The sequence below is a fragment of the Homo sapiens genome, chromosome 10 (assembly GCF_000001405.40).
Source record: "Homo sapiens chromosome 10, GRCh38.p14 Primary Assembly".
NCBI classification, from domain to species: domain Eukaryota; kingdom Metazoa; phylum Chordata; class Mammalia; order Primates; family Hominidae; genus Homo; species Homo sapiens.
The window spans coordinates 126,410,415-126,435,940 of record NC_000010.11 but is presented as its reverse complement, the minus strand read 5'-3'; the positions used below and the strand labels follow the sequence as shown (position 1 = coordinate 126,435,940).

Genomic DNA, 25,526 nt, shown 5'->3' with positions numbered 1-25,526 from the left:
TTGACCATAGGGATGGAGTGCAAGTGGGAAAAGGCAGGGATATTAGGGGCTGAGAAGAGACTTTCCTGTCTTCCAGGAGTTCATGTGCCACTTGGGGAGAGAGTTGGCCAGGCAGACAGCTGTAAACCACGTCTAGAATCATAAAGGAGAAGACCCCTAGGGAGTCAGGAAGTGAAGGGGACTGAGGACAGTGCTCTTGGATCCAAGAGATAGAGCAGCATGGGCTCAGGGAGTACATCAAGACTCCATTTCTCTCCAAAAATGTTTTTCATAGATATGGTTGACTTGGAGGTCTGGGATCCTCCAGCTGGGGAAGCAAAGCTCTGGTCCTGTGCCTCATCTGCCATATTGTATCAGGGGTCTCTCCTTGGAAGATCTGGGGAGGCTTGTGGCTGCCAGTGTTCATGGTGGGGCGTTCTCTTCACCACCTCCCCACCAAGGGTGCAGACCCTTTATGAAATCCATCCAGTAGCTCCAAAGCACCCTATCTTTCCATGGAAGCTGCAAGATGGTGACCTGACTCTGAGCTCAAGCTCAAGGGTAAGTCTCTGTGTGCAAGAGAATGATCTACCTTCCTTAACCAGGAAGCCCTATACACCTTGCTTCTCAAACTGAGTATGCAAAAGGAAACAGATTTTTCTGGAGACTCTCTGGCTTATTTTTTATTTAATTTTATATTCCTTCACCAGAAAGGTCTGAGAGCTTATTGTCTTTCCAGATTGTTACATCAGCAACTCTCTCATGTGTCTGGACAGTAATTGGCACATGGCATCACTTTCATATCAATACCAACAACTGTGTGGCTTCCACTTACCTGACAGGGTTCTGAAACAAGCTGCTATGTGCAACGGTCATTCAGCAGTGGGATTCCACAGATGGCTAGAAGTGATTTTAGAAACAGGATAATGTTTAGAAAATGAGAGTCCAGCATAAGATTTTATCATGAGAGCACTTCAGAGCCAAACCACCTATGAGTCGTTAACTCACCTTCATATGGTGTAACCTGTGCTGTTTAATTTCTGGAGGGCTAATTTGGTTCAAGATAGACCACTCTCCTATTGCCTACATCAAGAAAATTAGAGGGTCCACCATGGTGAGCTGAACAGAAATGTTCAAGTTTAAACCCTGAGAACCGTGATGGAATTACTCTAACGGCCGGCGGCAGAGACCTAGTGACTTTGGAATTGCATAATGCACAGCCTTGTGATCTTAGAATTCACACATGTTGGGGGTTCCCTTAAACACAACCCATTTCCATTCTTTGTGAAGGTCCAATCTTTAGTAGGAGATTCAGGAAGGTAGAGACTTGACGTCTATACTCCAGGCTGGCTTATTGACTCCCTGCTGAATTCTCTCCAACGGGTATCTCTTGGTTTTGGTGTTTCTAAGATAGGGGAAGCAAATGTCTAAAACATCCTTCAAAGTGCTCGGGGTGACTTCAGAAAATAGGCTTCTGGAAAGCATTGTCCTAATAAATCGTGTGAACTTGATTATCATTTAGATTACCTCTTCAGTAGGGAAAATGAAGTTTGCAATCAGAGCTGTAGATAAGGGCTCTGCATGGAGGAAAAACAGCCCAGCTCCAAAAACAACGAATCATGCTGGTGGCAGGGTGATCTTTGCTGCCTTCTGGTGACACTGTCAACTGTCTGAATATTGAGGCCACTTGTCCTTGTGTATGTGTGTGCACAGAGGTGATATGAGGATTACAATAAACACCCACATGTGTTTATAGAGATTAATGGGATGTCTGGGCTTTGACCTTACCTGAGTAGTTCTCAGAAGCACTGAAATCTTGGTACCTGGTTGTTTGCTGACTTTGACACAGGCAAGGGCTTGAGGAAGTCTGGCCTTACCAAGTTAAATTAGCAATAGACACTGTAGTTTGGATCCAATAATGAGGCAGATGCAAGACTTTTTGGGGAAAAAAGTATTTTCCAGAAATATAGAAATAGGCAATTTACCTTAGTAATTTTACTGGGGGAAAACACCACCTCTATTTGAATGATAATTCGAGGTAAACACAACTGTAGTCTCTTCCCTCCATATCAGGGAATTAGAACACATGAAACTTCAAGGAAAATCTGTAAGAGACCCATAAGCAAGCTGAAAATGGTTCTCACCTGCCACTTTAATTTTATACAGGCAGAATTTCCATTAAGAGTAATTTTATAGATAGGATTTCTCTGTTTTGTTTTGTTTTGTTTTCGTTTTGTTTTGTTTTGTTTTCAAACAAAGCTCATGCAGGTTGGTTTTGCATTCCATGAAGTGAAATCCCTGTGGGTCATGCTGTACATATCCTGAAGGCAATTGCGCCAGGCCGGGGAAGATGGTGGCGTGCAGGTAGTCATGAGAGTCTTCTACCCTGTACAGGAAGAAACTGAGTTGTGGGACCAGGAGAGATGAATCAAGGATGACTCATCTCTTGCTGCAGGCAGGTCTATGTGACCCTGGGCTGCCGTTTCACCCACCCCTACCAACCACAGGCTATTGGGGTATGTCTCTCTCTACTTCATGACCCAGCTCAGCTGTCTCCTGTTATGGAGTTTTCCCAGATGCCCTTCTTCCCTGGTGGACCTGACCACTCCCTCCTGATGTCTCCCCTCACCATGTGCAGACTTTGCTCTTGGCATCTAAAGGCCTTATTTACCTCATTCTCATCCTGGGCTCTGAGCTCTTAGTTTTATTTATCTTCATGTCCCTATCGCTTAGCACCAAGGAGATAAAAACTTTACAATTGTCAAATGAATGGGTTTGCTTAAACCCAAAGCCTGGGAGTCATCCTTGATTCATCTCTCCTGGCCCTTACAACTCAGTTTCTACCTGTACAGGGTAGAAGAGTCCCATGGCTACCTGCACGCTGCCATCTTTCCCCACCTGGCTGCAATTGCCTGACCTATCTCACTGCTGCCATTTTTGCATCTCCTCCACCCAGTTCATGTTCTGAAGAGCCACTGTGGTCATCTTTTAGCAATAAAAATCAGATCTCATGTTTAAAACTCCACATGGCTCTCCAACTCTCTTACTCTGAAGGCAACTCCTTAACAGGATTGCAAAGCTCCTTAAATAGGTTTGCAAAGGCCAACGTGGGTGGTTTCCTATTCTAGGGCATGTTGGAGTCATCTGGAGACTTTGGTTGAGATTCCAATGCCAACACACAGGAATCTTTGCCAAAATCCCCAGGCAGCTGTAAGGCATCACCTGGGTGGAGAACCAAAGTAATCTTCGCTCTCGCCTCTGCACCCTCCCTCCCCGCACAGCCACGATGACCCACTTTCAGTTCTTACTGCAGAAGCTCACTGTGCCCTTCTCCCAGATCCTCCCACAGTTGGCTCTTTGGTCATTCGGGTCTTGGTTTAAATATCTCCTCCCCTGCGGGGACTTCTTGCCTCTCCATTCCCCCTTTGACACATGGTGGCATTTCATTTTCACCAGAGCATTTGCCGGATACTTTAGCTGGTTTTTGACTTGTCCAGCTTCTCCCAAAATAAATGAAATCTCATGAAGGGACGGTCTTATCTGTTATTTTTGTTTCTGAGCATCCCCTACCAACATAACTGCTCGTTAAATGTAGAAGGAAGGAGAAAGGCATATCTAAGAAATGAATTTTGGATTGGTCTCATGGGAAATGGAGGAGTTCTTGGTCAGGGCTCCCAAAACACAATTTCTGCAACCACGAGCCACTTTCTCTCTCAAAGTGCCCAAAGCTGCTCCAGTGAGTTGTGTTCCTCTCACTCAAGTGAGGTTGGGAGCTGTTTGCAATGCACTTGCTCTATTTCAAACCACTTCCTCATGTCTCTTTCCTCCAGGCTAGGAAAGACCCTGCTATTTATCAGATGAGCTTGGGAACCATTAGGAAAACTCAAAGTCAGAAGCAATCAACCTGCAAATACTTCCCCGGGGGTATGGGTTGAGGTCACCAGCAGGGGAAGCCCCCTTGGACACAGTCCTGCTTGTTTTGCACCTAACATGGGCTGCTGGGCCCAGAATCAAAAGTTCTGTGTGGCACAGCAGGCTGAGCCGAGTTGAGGAAACACAAGAGTGGAGGTGTCAGAGAGCTCACATTTGCTGTTGTTTCCTCTTGGGAATCAAACCCAAGCTTAATTGTGGTATCAGGTGCTCTAAAGAAACAAACTGAAAAAAAAAGAAAGAAAAGAAAATCTAACTTCCCAGAGTAGACCACAAACAGTTGAACCAAGATGATCAAAATCTTACAAAGGGTATTGGTAATGTTTTTAATCTCCTCAGGACACCGTCTGTCTACCCTGGCCTCACCCTAATCTTGAGTAGCCCATGAGGATTGCTGAGCTGGACTTGAATCTAATTCTTTGTACAAGGTTTCTTTTCCCTAAGTGGAATAAGTGACTGTCAAGAGTCACATATTTGCTTGAGCAAGGGCCTGACTGATGGAAGCTGACATTTCCTTTTTTCTTGGAAATGCCATTGGGATGTTTCTGTGGCCCTTGGCTCTGACCTGGTGCTGCCTGGAGCAGGGACCGCTGGATACTGGGAAGCATCTTGGCCCATTGCAGTCTCCATGGTGATGTTGTTTTCTCACTGCTCCTTCTTACAAATTGCTCTAGGGAAAGCTGGGAGATTTCCTTGTCCTTAGAGGCCTCATACCTAGTGTAGGGATTTTTCTATGAGAGGAGTGACCTTGCACCCTGGCACTTCTCTCCAGAAGACCATGATTCTGTTGCTAAAAAGAAGCATTCAAAGGCATTGTTCTCCATAAAGTAAGTTAAGTGCTAACACTGTACTTCACACCCTTATTTAATTTGTCAAGATTAACCTTGTTTTTGGTCAGTTGTCAATACAGCCACTTAGTTGGAAATATTCCAATTTCTTTTTCTTGTTTCTCCTTTCAATCTTGTCTTTGAAGTTAAGCGATGGTGCCATATTCTTTTTCATGTCTGAATAACCAGACAGGGGACAAGCTTAGCCACTCTGTTGTTTTCCATATTATAAGTCAGTAGCTGTGTTATGTTTCTCCAGAGAGGAAGAAATTTCTTAGGATCCTTGGCTCTATCCTACCTTCTTAGATATTCCTAGAAAATTCTGTCTATTCTCAAGCCTGAGAAATATTTGGTTGCTCCACTGGATTGATGAGCAAAGGGACAGGCCTGGGTTGGAGGAGATGAATAGAAACAGACCCAGGACTTCACTGGGGATCGCAGGAGCCCCACTCCAACTCTGATGCTTGGCAAGGAGCCAAGTTGCCTGTCTGCTTCTGCTGAATGAGCAGGTTACTGCCCAGGTGTTTTAGGAAGCACGGCAGTTGCTGAAACACACCCCCATGCAACAAGCACCCCAGGAGCATTTACATATGCCAGACCCTTTATTAATCTACATGGCCAAGTGTCTCATGGGAATTTGAGTTATTGGAACAGTCCCTTTTCAACTTTTGCAAGAGGATATACACTGTTTTTTTTAACACACACCACTTTTAAGTGTGCCATCTGTGAACATCATTATGAATATGTACTTAGAATGAAAAAGTCCCAGTCTCATAGTGATTTTTAGCTACTGTGTACTTAATCAAAGGATACTGAGCATACATGATTATTATGTTGTTGTTCATTACCTTTCCCCACATTAGGAAGGGGGCAAGGTGGTCTTTATCGTGCAGAGGCTGAGCAGCCCTATAGAGGGCTATAGACAAGAGTGAAACCTCCTTCTTGCAAAATGCTCTAGGGATAGGTGGGGGATTTCCTTGTCCTTAGAGGCCTCACAGACCTAGTGTAGGGATTTCTCTATGGGTGGAATGAGCTTGCACTCTGGCACTTTTCTCAGAAAACCATGACTCTGTTGCTAAAGGAAGCATTCAAAGGTGTTGCTCTCCATAAAGTAGGTTAGATGCTAACATTGTACTTCACGTCCTTATTTAACTATTGTCAAGACCAAACCCGTTGTTGGCCATTGTCAATACAACCACTTATGGTGTATCAGTCTCTACTGAGTTCTGCTTAGACTCAGGATATGGCTTAGAATAAGGATCAATTAACGGATTATGAACTAATCACAATGTTTCTCTAGAAATGTGTGAGATTCTATGCCTTCTGAACTTAATTCTCTTTCTATTTTTTCCAGATAACTTGTTCAAACCCAAAGAACGGTGCATTTCAGAGAAGGAGATGCATATGCGATCTAAGAGGTACTTGGTTATTGTATGGTGTGCAAAGAAGTTGGTGGGGGGAGTAGGGTGGTTTGATGGCTTCAGGTGCCCTCCAATGGGACCACTGCTTCTAGGTCCATGTTTAAGGTCTGAGGTCTTTTTGGCTGCAAATCTGAAAAAACGGCTAAAATAAGTACGGTAGTTGAAATGTGCTTTTGAATGTTAATGCTGCTCTTGGAAAAACCTTAGGAAAGTGGTAGGTCTTGGATTCTGAACCAATCCAGTAATTGGTCTCTAAGAGATTCCCAGACTCTGAGCTGGAACTCCTGCATATTAGTATTGTTGCTCTGGGCAGGAGCTATTTGTCACTGCACCTTTGAAGGTAACTTTATGAGGAGGAGAGAAACTATTTCTCCTAAGGGTCTGGACTGTGGCAGGGACTGAAGGAAAGGATCCAACCTTGGAGGCAGATGGCACCTGGGAGCCAGTGGAGCCTCAGTGGGGCCGTGAGCTAGGTTTCCTGGTACTCTGTCTCCAGCAGACCTGGCGGCCATGCTGCCAACACATCCTCCTTATTCTGCTTGGCTGGTGGCTGTTCAAGACTCCCACTAATTCTCACCAATCTGATGCACACAAAGGCTGCCATTCTTTCTGAGATCTGGCCTCTTAACCAAAATATAATAGCTCAGCAGCATTGGCCAAGTTCATGCAAGTAAAATGTCATTAGTTTATAATAAAGTGTCTAGCACAGGGAGGAATTATCATAATTAAATCAAATTGATAGCGCACTTAAAGAAACCATTGAAATAGGGAGAATACTTTTCTCCCCACTTCAGGCATACAATTTCTGCTTTTACTATGATTATATTGTTTCCATGGTGATTAGGTAACTTTGATCATTTATTGGAGGCCTCTTTGTAAATAAGGAAGCGAAAATGAGGAAAAGGGAGACCGTCCCATTAAAGACCTGATTCGTAGCATTCTAATTGGAGTTTTTAAAGGGCCACTGGGCTTTAAGACTTGCTATTTCAGAAGTGCAAAGTTGCATATACCTCATGCCAGAACCATTCCCTTTTCAATTTACTGAAAAATTTCAGCCAAATCCTCCCCTCCCAGTCCCCAAACCCAAAGCCACCATTACGGAGCCTTGCAAACTAAGCAATTAAAATAATAGATCTCAAAGCAGCGTGAGTAGTCAGAGAGTATTGCCCTATCATTTTACTGAAGAGGAAACTGAGGCTCAAAGAGGACGAGTGAGCTAGGTGATGTTGCACCTCAAGTAACTGGCTTCCCCCAGCTGGTCTCCTCTGGTGGATTTAGCAGCTGGGTTTGCACTCTGCTCTGTGGATTGTACTTTGGGTGGGCTCTGACTCTGGCTCACCCACAGAATCACCTGGAGCTTTCTTTTCTTTGTATTCTTTGCTATTAATTATATCGTTAAATTACATTTTTATGTTAAAAATGCAAACAATGGAGATAAAGCTAAAGTCTCTTCATGACCAGCAGTTCCCCTCCCTGTTCCCAGCCCACTTTCCCTACCCCAGTCCCAGCTCCCCAGACACCCACAGTGATATCTCCTGAGTATCCTGTCAGGCCTTTCTCTTTGCCTTAAAGTAGACTTTTATTTGTGCATATATAGCTATGTGATTTTTAACCATGAATGGTATCATACTACACACTATCTCTCGGTAGCTTGCTTTTCACTTTATGTCTGTGAGCCCCTTCTGTGACGAATAGATAGATTATTTTCTTTGTCGGTTTTGACTGTCTGCAGAGTGGTCCATCGTATAGATGGACCATGATTTATTTGGGATGTTCTTTTAAGAAAACACTGAATCAGAAGTAACAGAGGTGGGACCTAGGAGCCTTTATTTTATACTTCCCAGGTATATTAGTTACGGTTCCCCAGAGGGACAGAACTAATAGGATATATGTATATAAAAGGGAGTTTATTCGGGAGAATTGACTCACACAATCACAAGGCAAAGTCCCATGATACGCAAGCTGGGGAAGAGAGAAGCCAGTAGTGGCTCAGTCCAAGTCAAAAGCCTTAAAACCAGAGAAACCAACAGCATAGGCTTCAGTCTGTGGCTGAAGGCCTGAGAGCCCCCGGTGCAAGCCCAAGAGTCCAGAGGCCGAAGAATCTGGAGTCTGATGTCCAACGGCAGGAGGGGCGGGAGGAGGAGCATCTAGCATGGAAAAAGAAGGAAGCCAGAAGACACAGCAAGCAAGGTTATCCTGCCTTCTTCCTCCTGCTTTATTCCAGCCACGCTGGCAGCTGATTAGATGGTGCCCACCCACACTGAATGTAGGTCTTCCTCTTCCAGTGCACCAACTGAAATGCCAATCTCCTCTGGCAACACCCTCACAGACACACCCAGAAATAAGACTTTATCAGCCATCCAGGCATCCTTCAATTCAATCAAGTTGACACCTAATATTAACCACTCTGCCAGCTGATTGAGATGGTCAGTATCAGAAAGATCAGTCTATATGGATCTGAGGAAATTCCCACTGCAGAGCTTTGAGACATGCCTACTTTCTAACTGACTCCTTTATAGTTTTCTCTCCTAGTCCTTCCTAGAATCACTCCTGAATGTGGCAATTATGTGTTCTTTTCTTCATGCATTCATTCAACCCATCTTGATGCCTACAGAGTGCTAGGCACTGTACTAGGCACAAGCATTTCCCGGATCTCACAAGTAGCTTGATGCCATATTATGGTTGGGTGACAGTGTTGTCTAGAAAGAGTCAAACAGACCAAGGTTTGAATCCCAGCCTAGGGGCTTTATACAAGTCTCCTAATCTTACTGGGGCTTGGGTTTCTCATTTATATAACAGTGGGACACGATATGCCTCTTCCAACTGTGGTGAATATGAAATGAAATAATTCATGTCAAGTAATTCAAGCCTAGTGTCCAATACCTAAGATGTCTCCTGCGAAGATTGTCATCATGATTTTTTCTACATTGTCCTTATTATTTTAATGGTGGAACATCTTCACTATATCATATCTGGCTTTCAAACACGAGAGAGAGAAAGATGTTTTAGCTGAGTGCCACACGTACAGCAATCCAAATACTCAGGCTACAGTGACTCCACTGTGTCAGTGGATTATAATGAAATATTAACTGGCATCAGTCCATGAAGTTGCTGTTAGAAAGTAGGAAAGAAGTGTCCAGAGGAAGATCCCCTGGGCCCTTAATTCAAAGTGCAATAGGTTGAGAGGTAAAAACACACACACTTATATGTGTTTTATTACAGTATTATAAGTCCTGCTATTTCTATTTATATGCTGTTCCTTTTCTAAGTCACAGGAAGGCAAACATTGAGTGGTAAGAAGGTATTTGGAAACAAGTTTACAATCAGAATGCTAAAGCAGTAGGTTTAGAATCCTTCATTTTACGATTAAGTCATTAATTATCATAGAGAATGGAAGGACAAAAACAATGACTTCTAAATAAGCAACTGGCCTCTCCAGCTTTGCCCCTGGTGGGACTCTGCCTGTTGCATTGCCCCACGTAGCACTGGACAAGGTGCCATCCCCTGCTATGCAGCAGGTTCTGGGTATGGTCAGGAAAGCCCTTCGTCCTGGCATCCTACAGTTGTGAGCTAGCCCATAAGCAGCGATCTTCTCTTTGAAATGTAAGAGCCTGCCGTCAAGACAGGATGCAGCCCCACAGCGGGAGCACGCTGTCAAGCTACCATTCCAAATGTTTTCCGAATCTGTTTCAGAATCTATGATAACTTGCCGGAAGTTAAAAAGAAAAAAGAAGAACAAAGGAAAAGGGTGATCTTACAAAGTAACAGACTCCGTGCCGAAGTCTTCAAAAAGGTAATGGCCTCGTCACCAGCAGGTGTGATGTGTGTGGTGCACAGATGCCGAATCTCAACTTGACATCTTTGTTTCCCTTTTCCTCTAGCAATTACTGGACCAGCTCCTTCAAAGGAATGCGGTCTAACCACAGGCTGCCCTGCTGACCACACTACCTGGACCTGGGAGGACTTCGAATGCTGGATAAGCCATTAAACTTAGCATTATCTTCATCATGGGAAAACACTTATTTTACTTTCGATTTTTTTTTTCCATAAAGGAAAACATCACTTCCTGAATTACTGACCCAAGCCAAACAGAAACAATAACCCTCGAGAAAATAGGTCAACAATCTGTTGTGGGGAAACCACCTCCATGTAACCCACTGGATACAGTCCCCTTAATGTTTTTGCTTCTAAATTGTACCTTTTGCTTCTGATTTCTTCTCCCCTGCTGTTTCCTGCCCATCAGAGAGGCCTGATACAAGCAAGTTTGTTTACATCCCTGGGGAATCTTTTACATCAAACTTTTGGGATCCAAATCCATCTCCTTTTAAATTTCAATCTCAGCACCTGCCAGTTATGCAAATGCCAAAATGTGGGTCATCATATAGTATATTTGAAACCTTTCTGAACATGTACACCACCCAATGCTAGAGGCTGACTTGGAAACCGGTGGGTGCAATGCCCGAGGCTGTGGAACAATCAGCCCATCTCTTTGTGACCTGGAGCAGTCAGAGGGCCCTCAGTCACCCCGCCCCATTCCTCACCAGAGAAAAGAATCCATTTCTATGGAAGCTCTGACGTAACTTCAGTGTTTTCTACAATACTCCTCCTGCCCCGCCCCATTAAAACAGTTCTTTTGTTAAGAAATAGCCTAATGGTCCAACTTTGCTGTCTGTTCTTCCAAATGTTTATAATACACATTATTTATAAATATGTCTGTTTGGGAAGCTAAGAACAAGCTAGTTTTTACAACACAAATGGAAATAAATGCAATTATTATAAAAATTCAAGTATTTCTCTGTTATATATTCTGTTATGAAGTAGGTGGCCAGGATAGATAACATAAGGTATAAAATGCTGCCCAAGACCCAGCAGGCACCACTGACCTGCTCCGCATCCTCTTCTGCCTCTGACCATCATGGAAGTACTTGTGCTTCTAGATGCTCCAGTGGATAATGTTGCCTCCTAGAGAGCTGGTAAGAGAAAAGCTGGTAAAACCATTGAGAACAAGATTTAGGATCCTGCAGACTCTAAATCTTACTAGGATTCTCCCTGGGAATGAAACAAAAGGTTTAGGGATGAAGCAGGAGCTTGGTGATACCTCTGTCCCTTCCCTGAAGTTGTCACCCTTCCTTCCCTCCTCCCGCTGCTGTACATACTGTCCCCTCTTTCTGAAATGCCTTTCTTTTACATATCTGCTGCAAACTGTTTAAAACTCTACCCTGGGGTTCTCTCCTGACACGTGCCCTCTCTGCCTTGCCCTCCAGTATGAATTAGAGATCTCACATCAGCACACACGGCATCAGACCTGTGCCCTCCTGCCCACGCGAGGGTCTGGCAACACTGTCAAGCGTGGAAGCTGCCTGGTGTCCAGTATTGATTGCTGCTCCCTGGTCTGTGCCCTCAGGCAAGAGTGTCAGTCTGGGTCCAACTAGGAGAGAGAAACCACACAGTCATTTGAATGGAAATGTTTAATATGTTTAATCATTAACCTTAATAGCAGATTAGAGTAGCAAAAGGTTGGCTAGTAAGTTGTAAAGATAGCCCTGAAGAATATAGGTGGGTACAGCAGATGCAAGGAGTCCTAGGAAGAGTCTTCCTCCTAGCCCTGGGCTGAGAGGGAACCACAGTGTCTCGGCAGGTGGTGGAGAAGTTTCTGTGGTGGTGTGCCAATGGAACTTGTTGAGAATCTACAAGTCTTTCTGGAACTTGCCAGAGATCTGCCCTCTAGGATCCACAGAGAACTGTCTCCTTGGTGACACTGCTAAAATACCACCTCAGGGAGGGGGCTGGGGAAGCAGCTGGCCATGAGTGCTGCTGGTCACATGCTACCTGCAGGGCCTGGTGCTGGAGCTGGCTGAGCAAATGCACTGTCTCTGGGAAGCAGCACCCTTTTCTCCTGCAGTTTCTCTCTAGCTCTCTCTACTGACAAAGCCTAACATTGTATCAGCTGGCAAAGGGAAAATACTTAAAGGGCCTGGATCCATTTTAACAGAGCAGGCAAAAAGGGTGAATTTGGAGGTGAGAGAGAATATAATCAATATCTGGCACAGCGAGTTATTTAACCTTGCCTTTGTTTCCTTAACCACAAAATGCAGATAATTATAGTGCTCCCTTCATAGGGTTGTTAGTGGAATTGAATAAGCCAGTGAGTGTTGAATGCTTAGAATAATGACTAGCCTAAATTAAACACACCATGAGTGTTTCCTATTCTAAGCAGAGGTGGAAGTTAGGACTGTCTTGGGAAACCTAAGAGCACAGGGGCTGTGAGTTGGTCCTCCTGTAATCCCTCAGCTCTGTAGTGAGTGCTACACAAGACCATTGAACTCATGGGTGCTGGTACAGCAAAAATCAGCCAACATAAATAAGGTGCTTCATAAACTCCTTCCTTTTATGTGCTTCTCACGCTCAGAAACCATTTCAGCAGGGTGACAAGCTTACCTTCAGGTTAATTTCTGCTTTCTTGAACTCATTAGACCTCTTCCAGGATGTTACACTGAATTTCTGTTTACACTTTAAGTGATTTTTTAGAAAACATTTAAATCAAATCTATGATATTAGTTAAGGACAGTCTTTCCCAGATAAAGATCCTGCACATGGCTATGTATGGTGGCTTATGCCTGTAATCTCAGCACTTTGGGAGGCTGAGATGGAAGGATCACTTGAGCCCAGGAGTTCAAGACTGGCCTGGCAACATGATGAAACCCTGTCTCTACAAAAAATGCAAAAATTCATCAGGCTAATGTTTTAATTTTCTGTAATCAATCATTTAAACTCAGGGCCCAACCACTTCTAGACTGTTCTATGACATTTTTTAGATTTATGTTGGCTGATATTTAAAGAGAGAATGCTTAGATGGAGCCAACCTTCAAAAATGCCCACAAAGAGCCTCATACCCTTTGCAAATCCAATGCCCAGCCTTAAAAATCTAAAGAATAAATAAACATCAGCTTGAGAGGAAATGCCTCTGAGTCATGTATTTCTGAGAACAGGTCTTAACTAAGGTGGCTAGGATGGAGAATTAAGGTAGGAATATGTGATAGCTGGTGTGAGCTGGTCTTTCCTCTGGGCAGCAGGCTCAGGACAAGGCTGGAAACTAAGGTTTGGGTTTCTGTTTAACTAACTTTTTTTTCTTGGCCTGTTAATGTTGTAACCGTCCTTCAATGCTGAGAAAAGAATTCAGAGAGCCAGTATTTCTTTTCTGTTATGAAATATGTTAGCAGAAATATAATGTAATTATGTTATAATTCATATGAAAGTAAAGCCCTGAAGAATTGTAACTGCTGTCCCTTATATTTCTCTCAGGAATTGGTTACCCATTTTTTGAATTCTGTTATTAAAATCAGACTTCAGGGAATACTTTGAGGTTTTGGAAAATTCTAAATAGAATTTACCGTTGTAACTTCAATCATTAAATTCTGTTCTGGAATAGATTTATTTACATCTGAGTGTGTTTCGGTTCTGGTCTAAAACAATTCTTCAATGATACAGCTGGCAGCAAGGGGTAAAGATTGTTAGAGGATATTCATGAGCTTAGACCAAGCAACATCTGAAATAACTTGAGGTATCCAGGTGGCGACAGCACCGGGCCATCTCACTGCGGTCTCCATGACTTCATGTCGAAGGAGCAATTCCTATTTTGGTTGTTCTCTCTGCCGGCCGGTAATGAAATAATGGAAAAACAATTGCCTTGGTTTTGTTAGCCAGTGTCTATTGCCAACCAAACTTCCTGGAAGTTTGTGGGCTCCCTGAGTGAGTCAGCAAATGCTTGCTCCGATGTAACAGGGCTCTTTGAATGAACTATTTCTGAAACAGCCAATTGTGGGAGAGCAGTTGAGACTTTGATGTCTGAGGTTCTCCCATTTCAACACTTGGTATAAAAATTGCAGGCAAGGGGCCTGGTCTCTGACTGCATCAAATGACCAACGGTCTGAGTATGAGGCACATCAGGGGCAGAACCAGAGAAGAGAAAGTACGGTGATGTGGCTGCCCAACAGGAGGTATCTGACGGTGTGTGAGAGCTCTGGGTTCAGGAAATAACACACAAAAAAGATCCACTGTGGGTCTGTGTGAGTGTGTCTGCATGAGCATTAAAAGCAAAGGAAATAATCTGTTCAGTGATTACAATGAGCCCAGTAGCAGAGGGTTCTACGTTATAGAGTTCATTGAATTTGTGCTTTTATCAATACTTGATAATTACTCACGAATGTCTAGGTCTAATAGAAACCTTTTGGAAGTGGCTTCCACTGGCTGAAGCAGCCCGCACCCGGGACTGAATGGCTTTGGAAATCCCCCCAGCCTTCTCCTGAGTGTCCCCTGCTGATGGGACATTTCCCCACTCAGGCAGGAGAGCAGGCTGCCTGGGAGACCCTTGAGATTCCATCAGATCCCCCCTTTCTCCCCACAGTCGCTTCTTGTTTGGGAGTGGGGGACTCCTCTACTCACGCAGATGTTTCAGCCACATGGAATGGAGCCACGACTTTGGCATGTCACTTCCAAAATTCAAGGATTTTTTTCAAGTCGGGTCAATTGCCTCAGGCACAGTTTTGATCCTGAGACCCCAAGAGACGGTCTGAGGTAATTGCCTGGAGTGTGTGTTGGGCAGGGGGTTTGAAATCCTTCCACTTTTTTATCCTTCTCTGAGAAGGTTTCCGCATACACATTCTGGATGCTGCCGTGGCCTGCCAGAATGCAGCCAGAAACATGACGTCAACCTGTGGCCCTTTTCTCAGATCTTCGCGCATCAGGAACTTGAAGAGCGGGGAGGGAAGGAAGAGACTGGACTTGCCTTTAGAATCTTAAAAAATGCCGGGTTATTCTTATCAAAGCTTAAAAGGAAAGAAAAAGCAGCTTATGATCTGAATAGCTGCTGAGAAAAAAAAAATGAATTTCTTTAAATCATTTTTGTTAAATAGCACCAAGAGTGAATGGCATAGGAAAAAATGTCCTTTTGATGACTTTCTGAGCATTCTTCTTCTGTTTAAACATCTCTACTTTCCCGACATGCCTGAAATGGTACAACAGCTGTAACTGACATCAGGGAAAAGATATTACAACTGTCACCTGTGTTAACTCCATACGCTGGGTAATATCCTTTCATCAAAGCCAACGGGGCTGCCTGCTTTACCTGCCCAGTGATGTCAGTGAGAGGGAAATTATAAATCTTTTCACAGCTGCTGATTGATAAAGAAATAAACCCACACTTTTGTGTTATATCCACTATAGTTCCTCTTGGCTGATGTTATCACACAGGTACCAAAGAAATTAGTGATGACAGCCCACTTAACGGGTACACGTTGCCAAATATGTGCTTAACATTAAAAGCTACTGAGTGCATATACAGAAGTTTTGTGTTTGTTTTTGTTTAAAAATATACCCAAAGGCGAGTAAGGCCAGATTTAATTATTATATGCTGACATAATTAAAATACCCGGTCTTGCTGTCTCAGCTGAAATGTTTATTACATCAAAATGACAGAATAATTCAAAATATTTGTCTGTTATTTTTTTTTTTTTTTTGGTAGCATGTGACATTGTATTAACAAGGCTGAGCTTAGCTCTTTACAATGGAAAACAGATGTTTGTTCATGGATTAAACTGAGGTGTGTGGACACCAATATTTCTAGATGGCGGTATTGATTCAGGTGGATGATGATTGTTTCCATTGAAGCATTTCTTCCTGATTAGGGTGTTTCAACCCTAATTCTCAATTAGCAGTTTTTTAATATTCCCCCTCCTCCCACCCCCTCAACACAGGAAGTGTTTTCTGATCGGTTGGTGAACAACCTCTAAACAGGGACAAGAACCTGAGCAGAAAACTGCTGAACCCAGAGTGCATTCTGAACATTTCTCAAAATAATAGCTTACATTTGTTTTTTTCTGAGCGCTAACCAAGTGACACTCACTTGTCATCCATTTATGTGTTCCCGCTGGGTCACAGCAGCCTCAACTAATGCAAATCAATTGTTGCCTCTGTATATCCCATTCCCGACCTGGCCCTTTTAGGAGCTTCCACCTTACTGCTAACTGGGGACAGCAAGTTAGTATCTTGTCTCTTCTGAATCCTTTCGGAAGTGTTGTCACTGGGTAAAGCAGCCCGCACATGGGACTGAATCACTTTGGAACCCCCCCTCAGCCTTCTCTTGAATCATACAGTTCCATTTCATGTACAGGTCCCATCAGTTTGAAATGAAGCCCTGCCTAGGCTCACACTTGGCCTTTCTGAGTTCTGCCACCACCACCTCCTTCCCAAGCTTGCGGCTAGCTTCATAATGTGGCTTCCTGGGGAGAGGACCAGTGGGACAGAGTCTCAGCTCTGTGTCCAGGGTCCTTGGGTAGCAATGGAATTGCTATGCACTGAATGTTTGTGTTTATACGTTGAAGCTCTAATCCCCAGAGTGACTGTCTATATTTGGAGATGGGGCCTCTAATAAAGTAATTAAGGTTAAATGAAGTCATAGGGTGGGGCCCTGATCTGATGGAATTAGTGTCCTTATTAGAAAAGACTCCAGAGCCTTCTCTGTCTCTGCCTCTGCCTCTGTCTCTGTCTATGCCTCCGCCTCTGTCTCTGTCTCTGCCTCTGCCTCTCCCTGAGAACATACAAGGAAGAGCACACAGTGAGATGATAGCAGCCTACAAGCCAAGAGAAGAGACCTCAGAATGAAACCTACTCTTCCAGCACCTTGATCTTGGACATCTCAACCTCCAGAACTGTGAGAAATCCATTTCTGTTGTTTGAGCCACTCAGCTGTGGGTATTTCGTTATGGTACCTCAAGTCAACTAACATGGGACCCTTGCTGTCCTCAGTGGTGACAGGGTCCCTTGCCCATTCTACTGGCATCTGCTACTCAAGTCTACAGCAGGGAAACTCTCAGCTTGCTGACTGTGCTCCACCTTTGCACTCACAGGGACTATGTGTTCCCCTGAGGCCGGTTGTGGCTCCCATAGACCCAAGGCTCTGTGGTCTACTTTGCAGCCCTGGGCTGCAGGAGGACTCTACTGATGCTGGCACAATTCTGGGCAAGTTAGGCAACCAGTACCATCAACTACCTTCCCCATCTGCCCCTGTGGTCTACAGGAGCTTCCTGACACCTTCCTGCATGCGCCTTCCTGCATGGAAGGACATGGAAACCTGCTGGAGGACCAAGCTGGTGGAGGTGGATTTCTCCCCAAGTCATATCCTGAATTCTCTCTGCCCTGGGCATATTGGGCCTCTGGGACCTAGGCCTATAGGCGTAGCTCTTGAAATGCTCATGGAACTCCAGAAAATTACTCCCCACTCCCCCACAAGGCCTGGTTTTCAAGACAACTGTGTCATGAAAGATGTTAAGAGACTAGGTTTTAGGGCTTGATGGCCCCTTTTTTATTTTGTGAGATTTCTCCATTACTTTATTTTCTAAGGGAAAAAGTCCCCTGGCTAATGAACAGATGTTCCCTATGCATTTAAAACTCATGCCCAATCCACACTTATTATTCTCAGGAGGGCCCTGGGAGGTAGGCAGCAGGCAGGCTCTGGACTGACTTCCTTTTTATAGGGGCCAGAGGTGGGTGGGGGTTAGTAATCATTTTTTTTTTTTTTTTTTTTTTTTTGAGACGGAGTCTCGCTCTGTCGCCCAGGCTGGAGTGCAGTGGCGGGATCTCGGCTCACTGCAAGCTCCGCCTCCCGGGTTCACGCCATTCTCCTGCCTCAGCCTCCCGAGTAGCTGGGACTACAGGCGCCCGCCACTACGCCCGGCTAATTTTTTGTATTTTTAGTAGAGACGGGGTTTCACCGTTTTAGCCGGGATGGTCTCGATCTCCTGACCTCGTGATCCGCCCGCCTCGGCCTCCCAAAGTGCTGGGATTACAGGCGTGAGCCACCGCGCCCGGCCAGTAATCATTTTTAAAGTCAGGTGCAATTAGAATACGATGATATCAGAATCACTATTTAAAGTCCCTTAAGTGTCATCTTGATGACAGACTAACATATCTCTGTACAGGTCAGCTCACCCAGACAGCTTCCTCCAGCTCTGAAACAGATCGACTGAGCACCAGATGAAGTTGGCATGGATGGGAGATGTGATGTACAAGAGGTATTTCCTTTAAAATATTAGACTCTTACTCAGCATGAGGAGATGGTCATGCTTTGAGAAGCAAGGGAACCATACACAGATTTACATCTCTCATCTGGTTCTGCCTCCAGGGCAGAGGCTGGATTGGAATGATGAGCAGTCATTCAACTGCTGGTGAAATTGTCCTCTCTCTTCCTTCCCAAGCTCATCTCTGAATTAAGAGAAGCATGCACATATGAAGCACTGCCCCTGAATAGTTCCCATTGTACGTGATGAGATGGAGTAAGCCAGAGAACACGTGTAACTCATGCAGGGTATTTCATGTTGGTGGGTTGGGACTGAGCTTTGAACCACGTCTGTTTCCCTCCTGAACTCTGAGCTCTTATATTGACATCATGCTGCAGATGGTGTACATGTGTCTAAGAATGAAAGATACAGATTTTCAGGTTTCACTAAAATGTTAAGTAATTTTACTGGCCCCAAAGAGCCTTAAATTGTAGAATAGGATCCCTCAAAACTTTAGGAAAATAAAATTAGAAAATATTTGCCTTGGAAAGTTGCATCCTTAACAGAATAAGGAAAAATTACCTAGGATTATGATGTAGGTTTATTATGTGTGGGAATCATGGAGGATGTGATGTTTCCACTAGACTGAAAGCACCCTGGGGGCAGGGGCTATACCATGCTTCTCTTCCCTAGAAACTAGTATCTCTGGGTATCAGGACATTCTCCTCACTCCAGTATCACCAGCCATCAGGGCTTAGTTTTTCCCTTACATCACCAGCTGTTTCTCACCCTCTTCCCTCTGTGTCTCACTCCATCTAGAAAAGCAAAAATTACTTGAGTTATCTCCCCGAAGTCAAAAGTAATGGGACACGCAGACCCTCCTGAAATTCTGAGCAGAAATTGCTGCTACATTTGAATCAGATTCTAAGAGGTGAGAAAAGCTTCTTTTTTTTCTAACTTATATTTTAAGTTCAGGGGTACGTGCGCAGGGTGTGGAGGTTTGTTACGTAGGTAAACGTGTGCCATGGTGGTTTGCTGCACAGATCATCCCATCATCTAGGTATTAAGCCCGGCATCCATTAGCTATTCTTCCTGATCCTCTTCCTCCTCCCACCCCCAGTGTGTGTTGTTCCCCCCATGTGTCCACGTGTTCTCATCATTCAGCTCCCACTTATAAGTGAGAACATGTAATATTTGGTTTTCTGTCTCTGCGTTAAGTTTGCCGAGGATAATCGCTTCCAGCTCCATCCATATCCCTGCAAAGGACATGATCTCATTCCTTTTTATGGCTGCATAGTATTCCATGGTGTATATGTATCAAATTTTCTTTATCCAGTCTATCAGTGATGGGCATTTGGGTTGATTCCATGTCTTTGCTACTGTGAATAGTGCTGTAATGAACATATGTGTGCTTGTATCTTTATAATAGATGATTTCTATAATATAATATTTCTATATATATAGATTGATTTATATTCCTTTGCGTATATACTTAGTAATATAATAGAATGATTTATATTCCTTTGCGTATATACTTAGTAATATAATAGAATGATTTCTATTCCTTTGGGTATATACTTAGTAATGGGATTGCTGGGTCAAATGGCATTTCTGCCTCTAGGTCTCTGAGGAATCACCACACCGTCTTCCACAATGGTTGAACTAATTTACTCTCCCACCAACGGCATAAAAGCATTCCTTCTTCTCTATAATCTCACCGGCATCTGTTGTTTCTTGACTTTTTAGTAATAGCCATTCTGACTGGTGTGAGATGGTATCCCATTGTGGTTTTGATTTGCATTTCTCTAATGATCAGTGATATTGAGCTTTTTTTCATGTTTGTTGGCCACATGTATGTCTTCTTTTGAGAAGTGTCTGTTCACATCCTTTGCCCACTTTTTAATGGGGTTGTTTGTTTATTTCTTGTAAATTTGTTTAAGTGCCTTATAGACACTGGATGTTAGACCTTTATCAGATGGATAGGTTGCAAAAATGAGAAAGGCTTCTTATATACACCTGTGGATCAGTGCCAGTCACATGCCCCAGGCCGTGATTCTTCATCAGTGCTAATGCGTTCTTCTAGTGGACATCTCAGTGTTGACGTGTTCAGAGTTGTAAGGGACTTGAGTGGTGATTAAGCAAAGGAGGAGGTCCTGGCAGCAACAATCTGGGCCAGAAAGTGGAAACAGCCTCCTGAATTCTGAACTTTCCAGGTTACATCAATGGAAGTGCTTTACTCTTGACACACACACACACACACACACACACACACACACACACACACACACACACAAAACTCTACCAGGCAAGTTTTCGGCAAATGTATGTCACAACTGCACTGTGATACAAAGAAGCAAAATTCCAAGTTTATAACTTTCTCATCCTTCTATAGAATACATGCATTTCCCTAAACACATGTATTATTAATAGCCCATAAAATATTAACTCCATCTAAAAATGCATTATTAACAACATAATGAGGGCAATACACACATCGGTTTTCTCTAGACACTTTATTTAGAAACCCCAAGCTCTTTTGTTTTTGATATCGGTGAAAAGAGACAATTGTAGAAATGTTTATTTGTAATGATCAAGAAAGTTCATGATCTTGTAGTCAAGGAGTCAACACAGAATCAATAGTTTGGTCCAAAAAGTAAGATTTCAAAGCAAAGATTTTTCCCCAAAGTTGAGAAAACACAGAGGTACTGTGAAGCGGCACTCTTTAGAGATGCACTATGTGTTGTTTTGTTTGGTTTTGTTTGTGGGCACTTTCTAAAATGGGATTTAAAGTCCAGGGGCCATAATTAGGCCCACCACAAATGATGTTATTATTGTCTTTAATGTATGGCCTTAAATACATCATAAGAAGGTTCACAGTGACAGTTTACTCATTGCTGCGAGCTTGTGGACACCATTGTCTGCTTTAAAACAATGCTCTGGCTTTGCTCTTTGAAGACAAGACCTGAAAAATCAGCTGTATGTATTTTCGTAGATCATCAACATTAGAAGGTGCACATCATAATTCAAATCTCTGAAGAGGAAGAAGGAAGATATTGACTTCAGTCTTCATTTAGTCCTGTTATGGGACTTCCAGACACTGAAAAAACTCATCCCTACAGCCGGCTGGAGGATATTGTCCTGGAAGGGGCAGCTTTCACACATGGTTTGAATTCAATTAGCCAGCTCCTCTGAGAGCCACTAGAGTACCATTTAGGACATTGCTTCTTGAATTCTCATTTGCAGCCTTGCAAATAATTTTCAAAGGTCATTAGACCATAAGGAGTTTTCATTACCCTTCATTCATGTCAACAGCAAACACTTACTGATTGAGCGTCCACTTGGTGCCCTATGCTAGGTGCTTCCAGGTGCATCCAAAAAGGGATGCAGCACAAAAAATTAAAATGACTAGAAGCAGCAACACATGGAAGGTAAAAATCTTTCTAATAAGAGCAATGGAAGAAACATTTCTACAAATGTTAAGTTGTAAGTCAAATGTTTTTAAAAAGAAAGAAATGACAAATTTGATTAGACAAAAATGAGAAACTGCTTGCTGTGGTCTCAATGTGTCCCCCCAGATTCATATGTTAAACCTTAATTGCCAATGTGAGAGTATTACGAGGTAGGGACTTTAGGAGGTGATTAAGTCTCTGCCTTCATGAATGGGATTAGTGTCCTTACAAAAGAGGTGCAAGGAAGCTGCCCATCCATTCCACCACATAAGGATGCATCCAAAGGTGCCATCTGTGAAGCAGAGAATGCCCTCACTAGACATCAAACTAGACGTCAAACCTAAATTGGCCTTGATCTTGGGCTTCCCACCCTCCAGAACTGTGAGCAATAAATTTCTATTTTTTATAAATTATCCAGTCTAAGGTATCTTGTTATAGCAGCCCAAACATACTGAGGCACTCTTGAATGTCAAAAGACACTGTAAACAAAATTTAAAAGGCGAAAGGCAAAATGGGGCAAATATTTAAAACCATAAAGGGTAAGATCCTTTATGAAAGCATCATATAGCTCAATAAAGGAAAAACAGTCCAACAGAAACATGGTTCTAGAACATAAGCCCTTCACAGAAGAAATACAAATCACTGACAAACACACAAAATGCCAAGAATAGCTAATATTTAAAGAAATACAATAAAAATAATGAAACATTTAAGCCTGTCAAATTTTCCTCTTCTTTTTCGTTCTTTTATTCTTTTTTTTAAGATTCAAAGCCATTAGTGAAAGCACATGAAACACTGTGAAGTGGAGTTGGAGGTGTGGGTCATTGCCTGCCTGTTCATGCCCTGTTCTAGGTAATCTGTCCTCTTCCCAGCCTACCCACCCATTACTTCTCTGACCTACATTCACCATGGAGAGCAGCTCATCAGCAAGGGCCCGGAGTGTGGGGCCATACACTCTAGCAAAGCAAAGGCTCCCGGGAGCTGAGTGAAAGAACTCAGAGCCTTGCAGAGAAGCTACTCGCCCACTAACCAGAGGTTGGAGCAGAGGAGATGGCTGCAGAGACAACACACACAGACATAGCGCCTGGGCTTTGCAGGTGGGCAAGGCCAGGCTGTGCTTCCTCCAATTGGAGGCACTGAGCTCCCCCAACAAGCCTACAATGGACCCTGCATCTCACCTGAGCTGCTTTGAGCTGGGCTCTGTTTTAGCCACTGACAGAGCCGTGCTCCTGCATTGCTAGGGGTACAGCACATTGGTGGAACTTTTCCAGGGCACGTGGCAATTTGTATTAGCAGCTTTCAGTTGGGAGTTGTTTTTCAACTCAGCAATTCCCAGTAAGGGAATTTATCAAAGATATGACTAAAGATTTGTGTCCAGGGACACTTACTGAAATGTTATTTTTTATTAGTGAAAAATTGGAAACAACTTAAAAGCCCCACAGGAAGGAAATAGTTTCTCTCCATAAGATGGTATACAAAGGTCATGGTAACATACCCACGGTGTGGTCTTGCAAAGCCTGCTGCTGAAAAAGCGAAATAATATGAACCCTAAACTGGCAGAAGATGATGCTTTTATGCATAAAAAACACTGAAAGTGTGTCATCTAAAATCTATTAATCTTTTATTTTGAAATAATATCACTTGTATAGGTAAGTTGCAAAAACACTACAAGCAGTGCTCATGTGTCTTCACCTCAGCTCAACAATTGTTGACACTTCGCAACATTTGATTTATTGTTCTCTCTCCAACATACACATTCACTCACATATAATTCTTACTGCATGACTATAACAATTTTACACGATATATACATATATAATATGTATGTATATTAATTATATACCTTATATAGTTTTATATAATATTGTATATTATATATAGTTTATATATGTGTGAACATGTATGTTATTCAAAATGTAACTATGCATGTTATTTAAAATCACATGCATTACTTTTCTGAACCATTTGATGGTAAGTTGCTGAGATCATATGCTTTTACCCCTCAATAGTGACCTTCAAATGTTATTTATATTTTTTGCCTCTTTCGTTATTCTGTATTTCCCAAGTTTTCTATCTTTGTAATTAGATAAAAATAATAACATACGTTATCTCAAGAAGTAAATCACAACTGTTTACTTCTGAAATTCTTTAAGTAATTTAAAAATTACGGTCTAGACAATCATAAGTTGATATATTAGTTTGAAATAAACTTAGAAATACATATGTTAAGCTTTAAAGATGTACATTTCTTTTGAACAAATAATCCTTCTGGAACTCTAAGAAATTATTCTAAAATTGCAAAATGGCAAGATGAACAAAATGTATTTACAGTATTCATTTAAGAGAAAAAAATGTCAATAGTCCAGATGTCTAACAACAGAGAAATGGTTATGAAAACTAGCACATCCTTCTAAAGAAAAAGTGTACATCCATAAAAATGGCACCTGTGGCCAGGCACAGTGGCTCATGCCTATAATCCCAGCATTTTGGGAGGCCAAGGCGGGTGGATCGCTTGAGCCCAGGAGTTCAAGACAAGCCTGGCCAACATGGCAAAAACCCATCTGTACTAAAAATACAAAAATTAACCAGGTGTGGTGGCAGACACCTGTAATCCCAGCTACTCGAGAGGCTGAGGCATGAGAATCACTTGAATCCAGGAGGCAGAGATTGCAGTGAGTGGAGATGGTGCCACTGCACTCCAGTCTGGGGGTCAGAGTGAGTGAGACTCTGTCTAGAAAAAAAAAAAAGGCACTTGTGAAGAACTCATTGCCACCAGGAAATACATACCTACACTATGGACATGGGCAGCCCTCACTGAGGGTTTGGGTGGGAGGGTGTGTGCACCACAGTGATCCTAAAAGCCTCAAGTAGATCCCTTGAGAAAGCCTCCCGGAACATGAAGCCATCTGCTCTGTGAGCCAGACTCATCTTTCCTGTCATGAACATCTGGGTCCACAGAGAGCTCTGGGGTCCCAAGCATCACCTGTTAGGGCCCCCCTCTAATAGGGGCAGTGAGCACATTGGGACTCCTCAGGAGCCAAGCGAAGATCTTTCTTCCCCCCATTCCATGTCCAAGGCAGACCTCATGACCAATGGCAGTCTTCCTGACTACAACACCCAGGTAAAGCCTCAGAATCATTCTGGACACAGCATTCCTGGATGGAAGGAACCCATGAAATAAATGTATGTGCCACCTGGGCCAAGCCTGCAGGTAGAAGTGGAAGCTGGGGAAGTAGGGGCTCAGTGGAGGGCCTGCTGGCAGTGACTGAGAGCCATTAGCACCCTGATCATGGAGCCTCACCTCCAAAAAAGGCCAATTTTCAGGAACAATGGTTACTGACCTGGAAAAAGCATTTATTTTTAAAATGTGTGATTGGTCATGATTTCATTTTCATTTCACTGGAAGCTTACATAGATAGCCTCAATGATTGCCTCAGCTTTCTTCTCAAGGCTGCTTTCATGACCTGAAAGATGTAGCACCCTTTGGGCGTGGGGTAGTAACTCTCCCAGAGTCCTAAGCAAAGGCAGGCCTCACCTCTGTGTAGTGCAAGTTCAGATATTCATTAACATATCCTGACACAGCCGTGACTTTAAAAGGTAGGGTGCTGTTTTTTACCAAGATCAGGACAGAAGCTGGGCTATAGGCTGAGGCCCAGGACAGATGCTGGCATGCAGGCTCTAACTCCTGATCAGGCCAAAGGAACCAAGTTGATCTCTCCCACAGAGCAGAAGCAGACTTGGGGACATGGTTCTGGTCGAGGCCCATCCAAGACATGATGGAATTGGGCAAATCTAATATGATGCATCCGATCTTACAAAAAAAAATCATTTCTAAGGTGAATGCAACCATAATTGCTACTTGAAGAT

At 43.2% G+C, this 25,526-nt stretch overlaps 1 protein-coding gene and 3 long non-coding RNA genes across 17 annotated transcripts in view, besides 1 other annotated feature; 2 read left to right on the top strand and 2 right to left on the bottom strand.

The window, feature by feature from the left end:
• Positions 1–10,011, bottom strand: part of LOC728158 (uncharacterized) — a 35,028-nt gene extending 25,017 nt beyond the window's left edge. Inside the window, exons 1-3 of the long non-coding RNA NR_148989.1 lie at positions 9,916–10,011; positions 2,124–2,365; positions 815–879 (exon numbers count right to left, since the gene is read on the bottom strand). This is a non-coding gene — a long non-coding RNA (uncharacterized LOC728158). The remainder of the gene's footprint in view (positions 1–814; positions 880–2,123; positions 2,366–9,915) is intronic.
• Positions 1–10,944, top strand: part of C10orf90 (chromosome 10 open reading frame 90) — a 245,697-nt gene extending 234,753 nt beyond the window's left edge. For all 14 annotated transcript variants that reach the window (NR_146939.2, NM_001350922.2, NM_001350921.2 and 11 more), the window contains 3 exons: positions 6,091–6,154; positions 9,851–9,950; positions 10,039–10,944. Coding sequence is in view for 13 of the 14 variants with exons in the window: in NM_001350922.2 (NP_001337851.1) it covers positions 6,091–6,154; positions 9,851–9,950; positions 10,039–10,077 (203 nt within the window). In the remaining variant the exon portion in view is untranslated. The remainder of the gene's footprint in view (positions 1–6,090; positions 6,155–9,850; positions 9,951–10,038) is intronic.
• Positions 7,968–11,892, bottom strand: LOC112267914 (uncharacterized). The gene is made up of 3 exons (XR_001747635.3): positions 11,463–11,892; positions 11,041–11,127; positions 7,968–8,304 (listed from the first exon to the last, which is right to left on the bottom strand). It is a non-coding gene; the product is annotated as an uncharacterized LOC112267914 (long non-coding RNA).
• Positions 9,627–10,826: an enhancer, noted in NCBI's record as "BRD4-independent group 4 enhancer chr10:128113684-128114883 (GRCh37/hg19 assembly coordinates)". NCBI's record gives its function as "activates an origin of replication core promoter dependent on BRD2, P300/CBP, MED14 and CDK7 cofactors, and independent of BRD4, by STARR-seq in HCT116 cells {active_cell/tissue: HCT116}" and the evidence as "EXISTENCE:reporter gene assay evidence [ECO:0000049][PMID:35650434]".
• Positions 11,893–14,061: 2,169 nt separating the features above from the next.
• On the top strand, positions 14,062–22,072 carry LINC00601 (long intergenic non-protein coding RNA 601). The gene is made up of 4 exons (NR_073453.1): positions 14,062–14,154; positions 18,133–18,225; positions 19,030–19,141; positions 21,203–22,072. It is a non-coding gene; the product is annotated as a long intergenic non-protein coding RNA 601 (long non-coding RNA).
• The last annotated feature ends 3,454 nt before the right edge of the window (positions 22,073–25,526 follow it).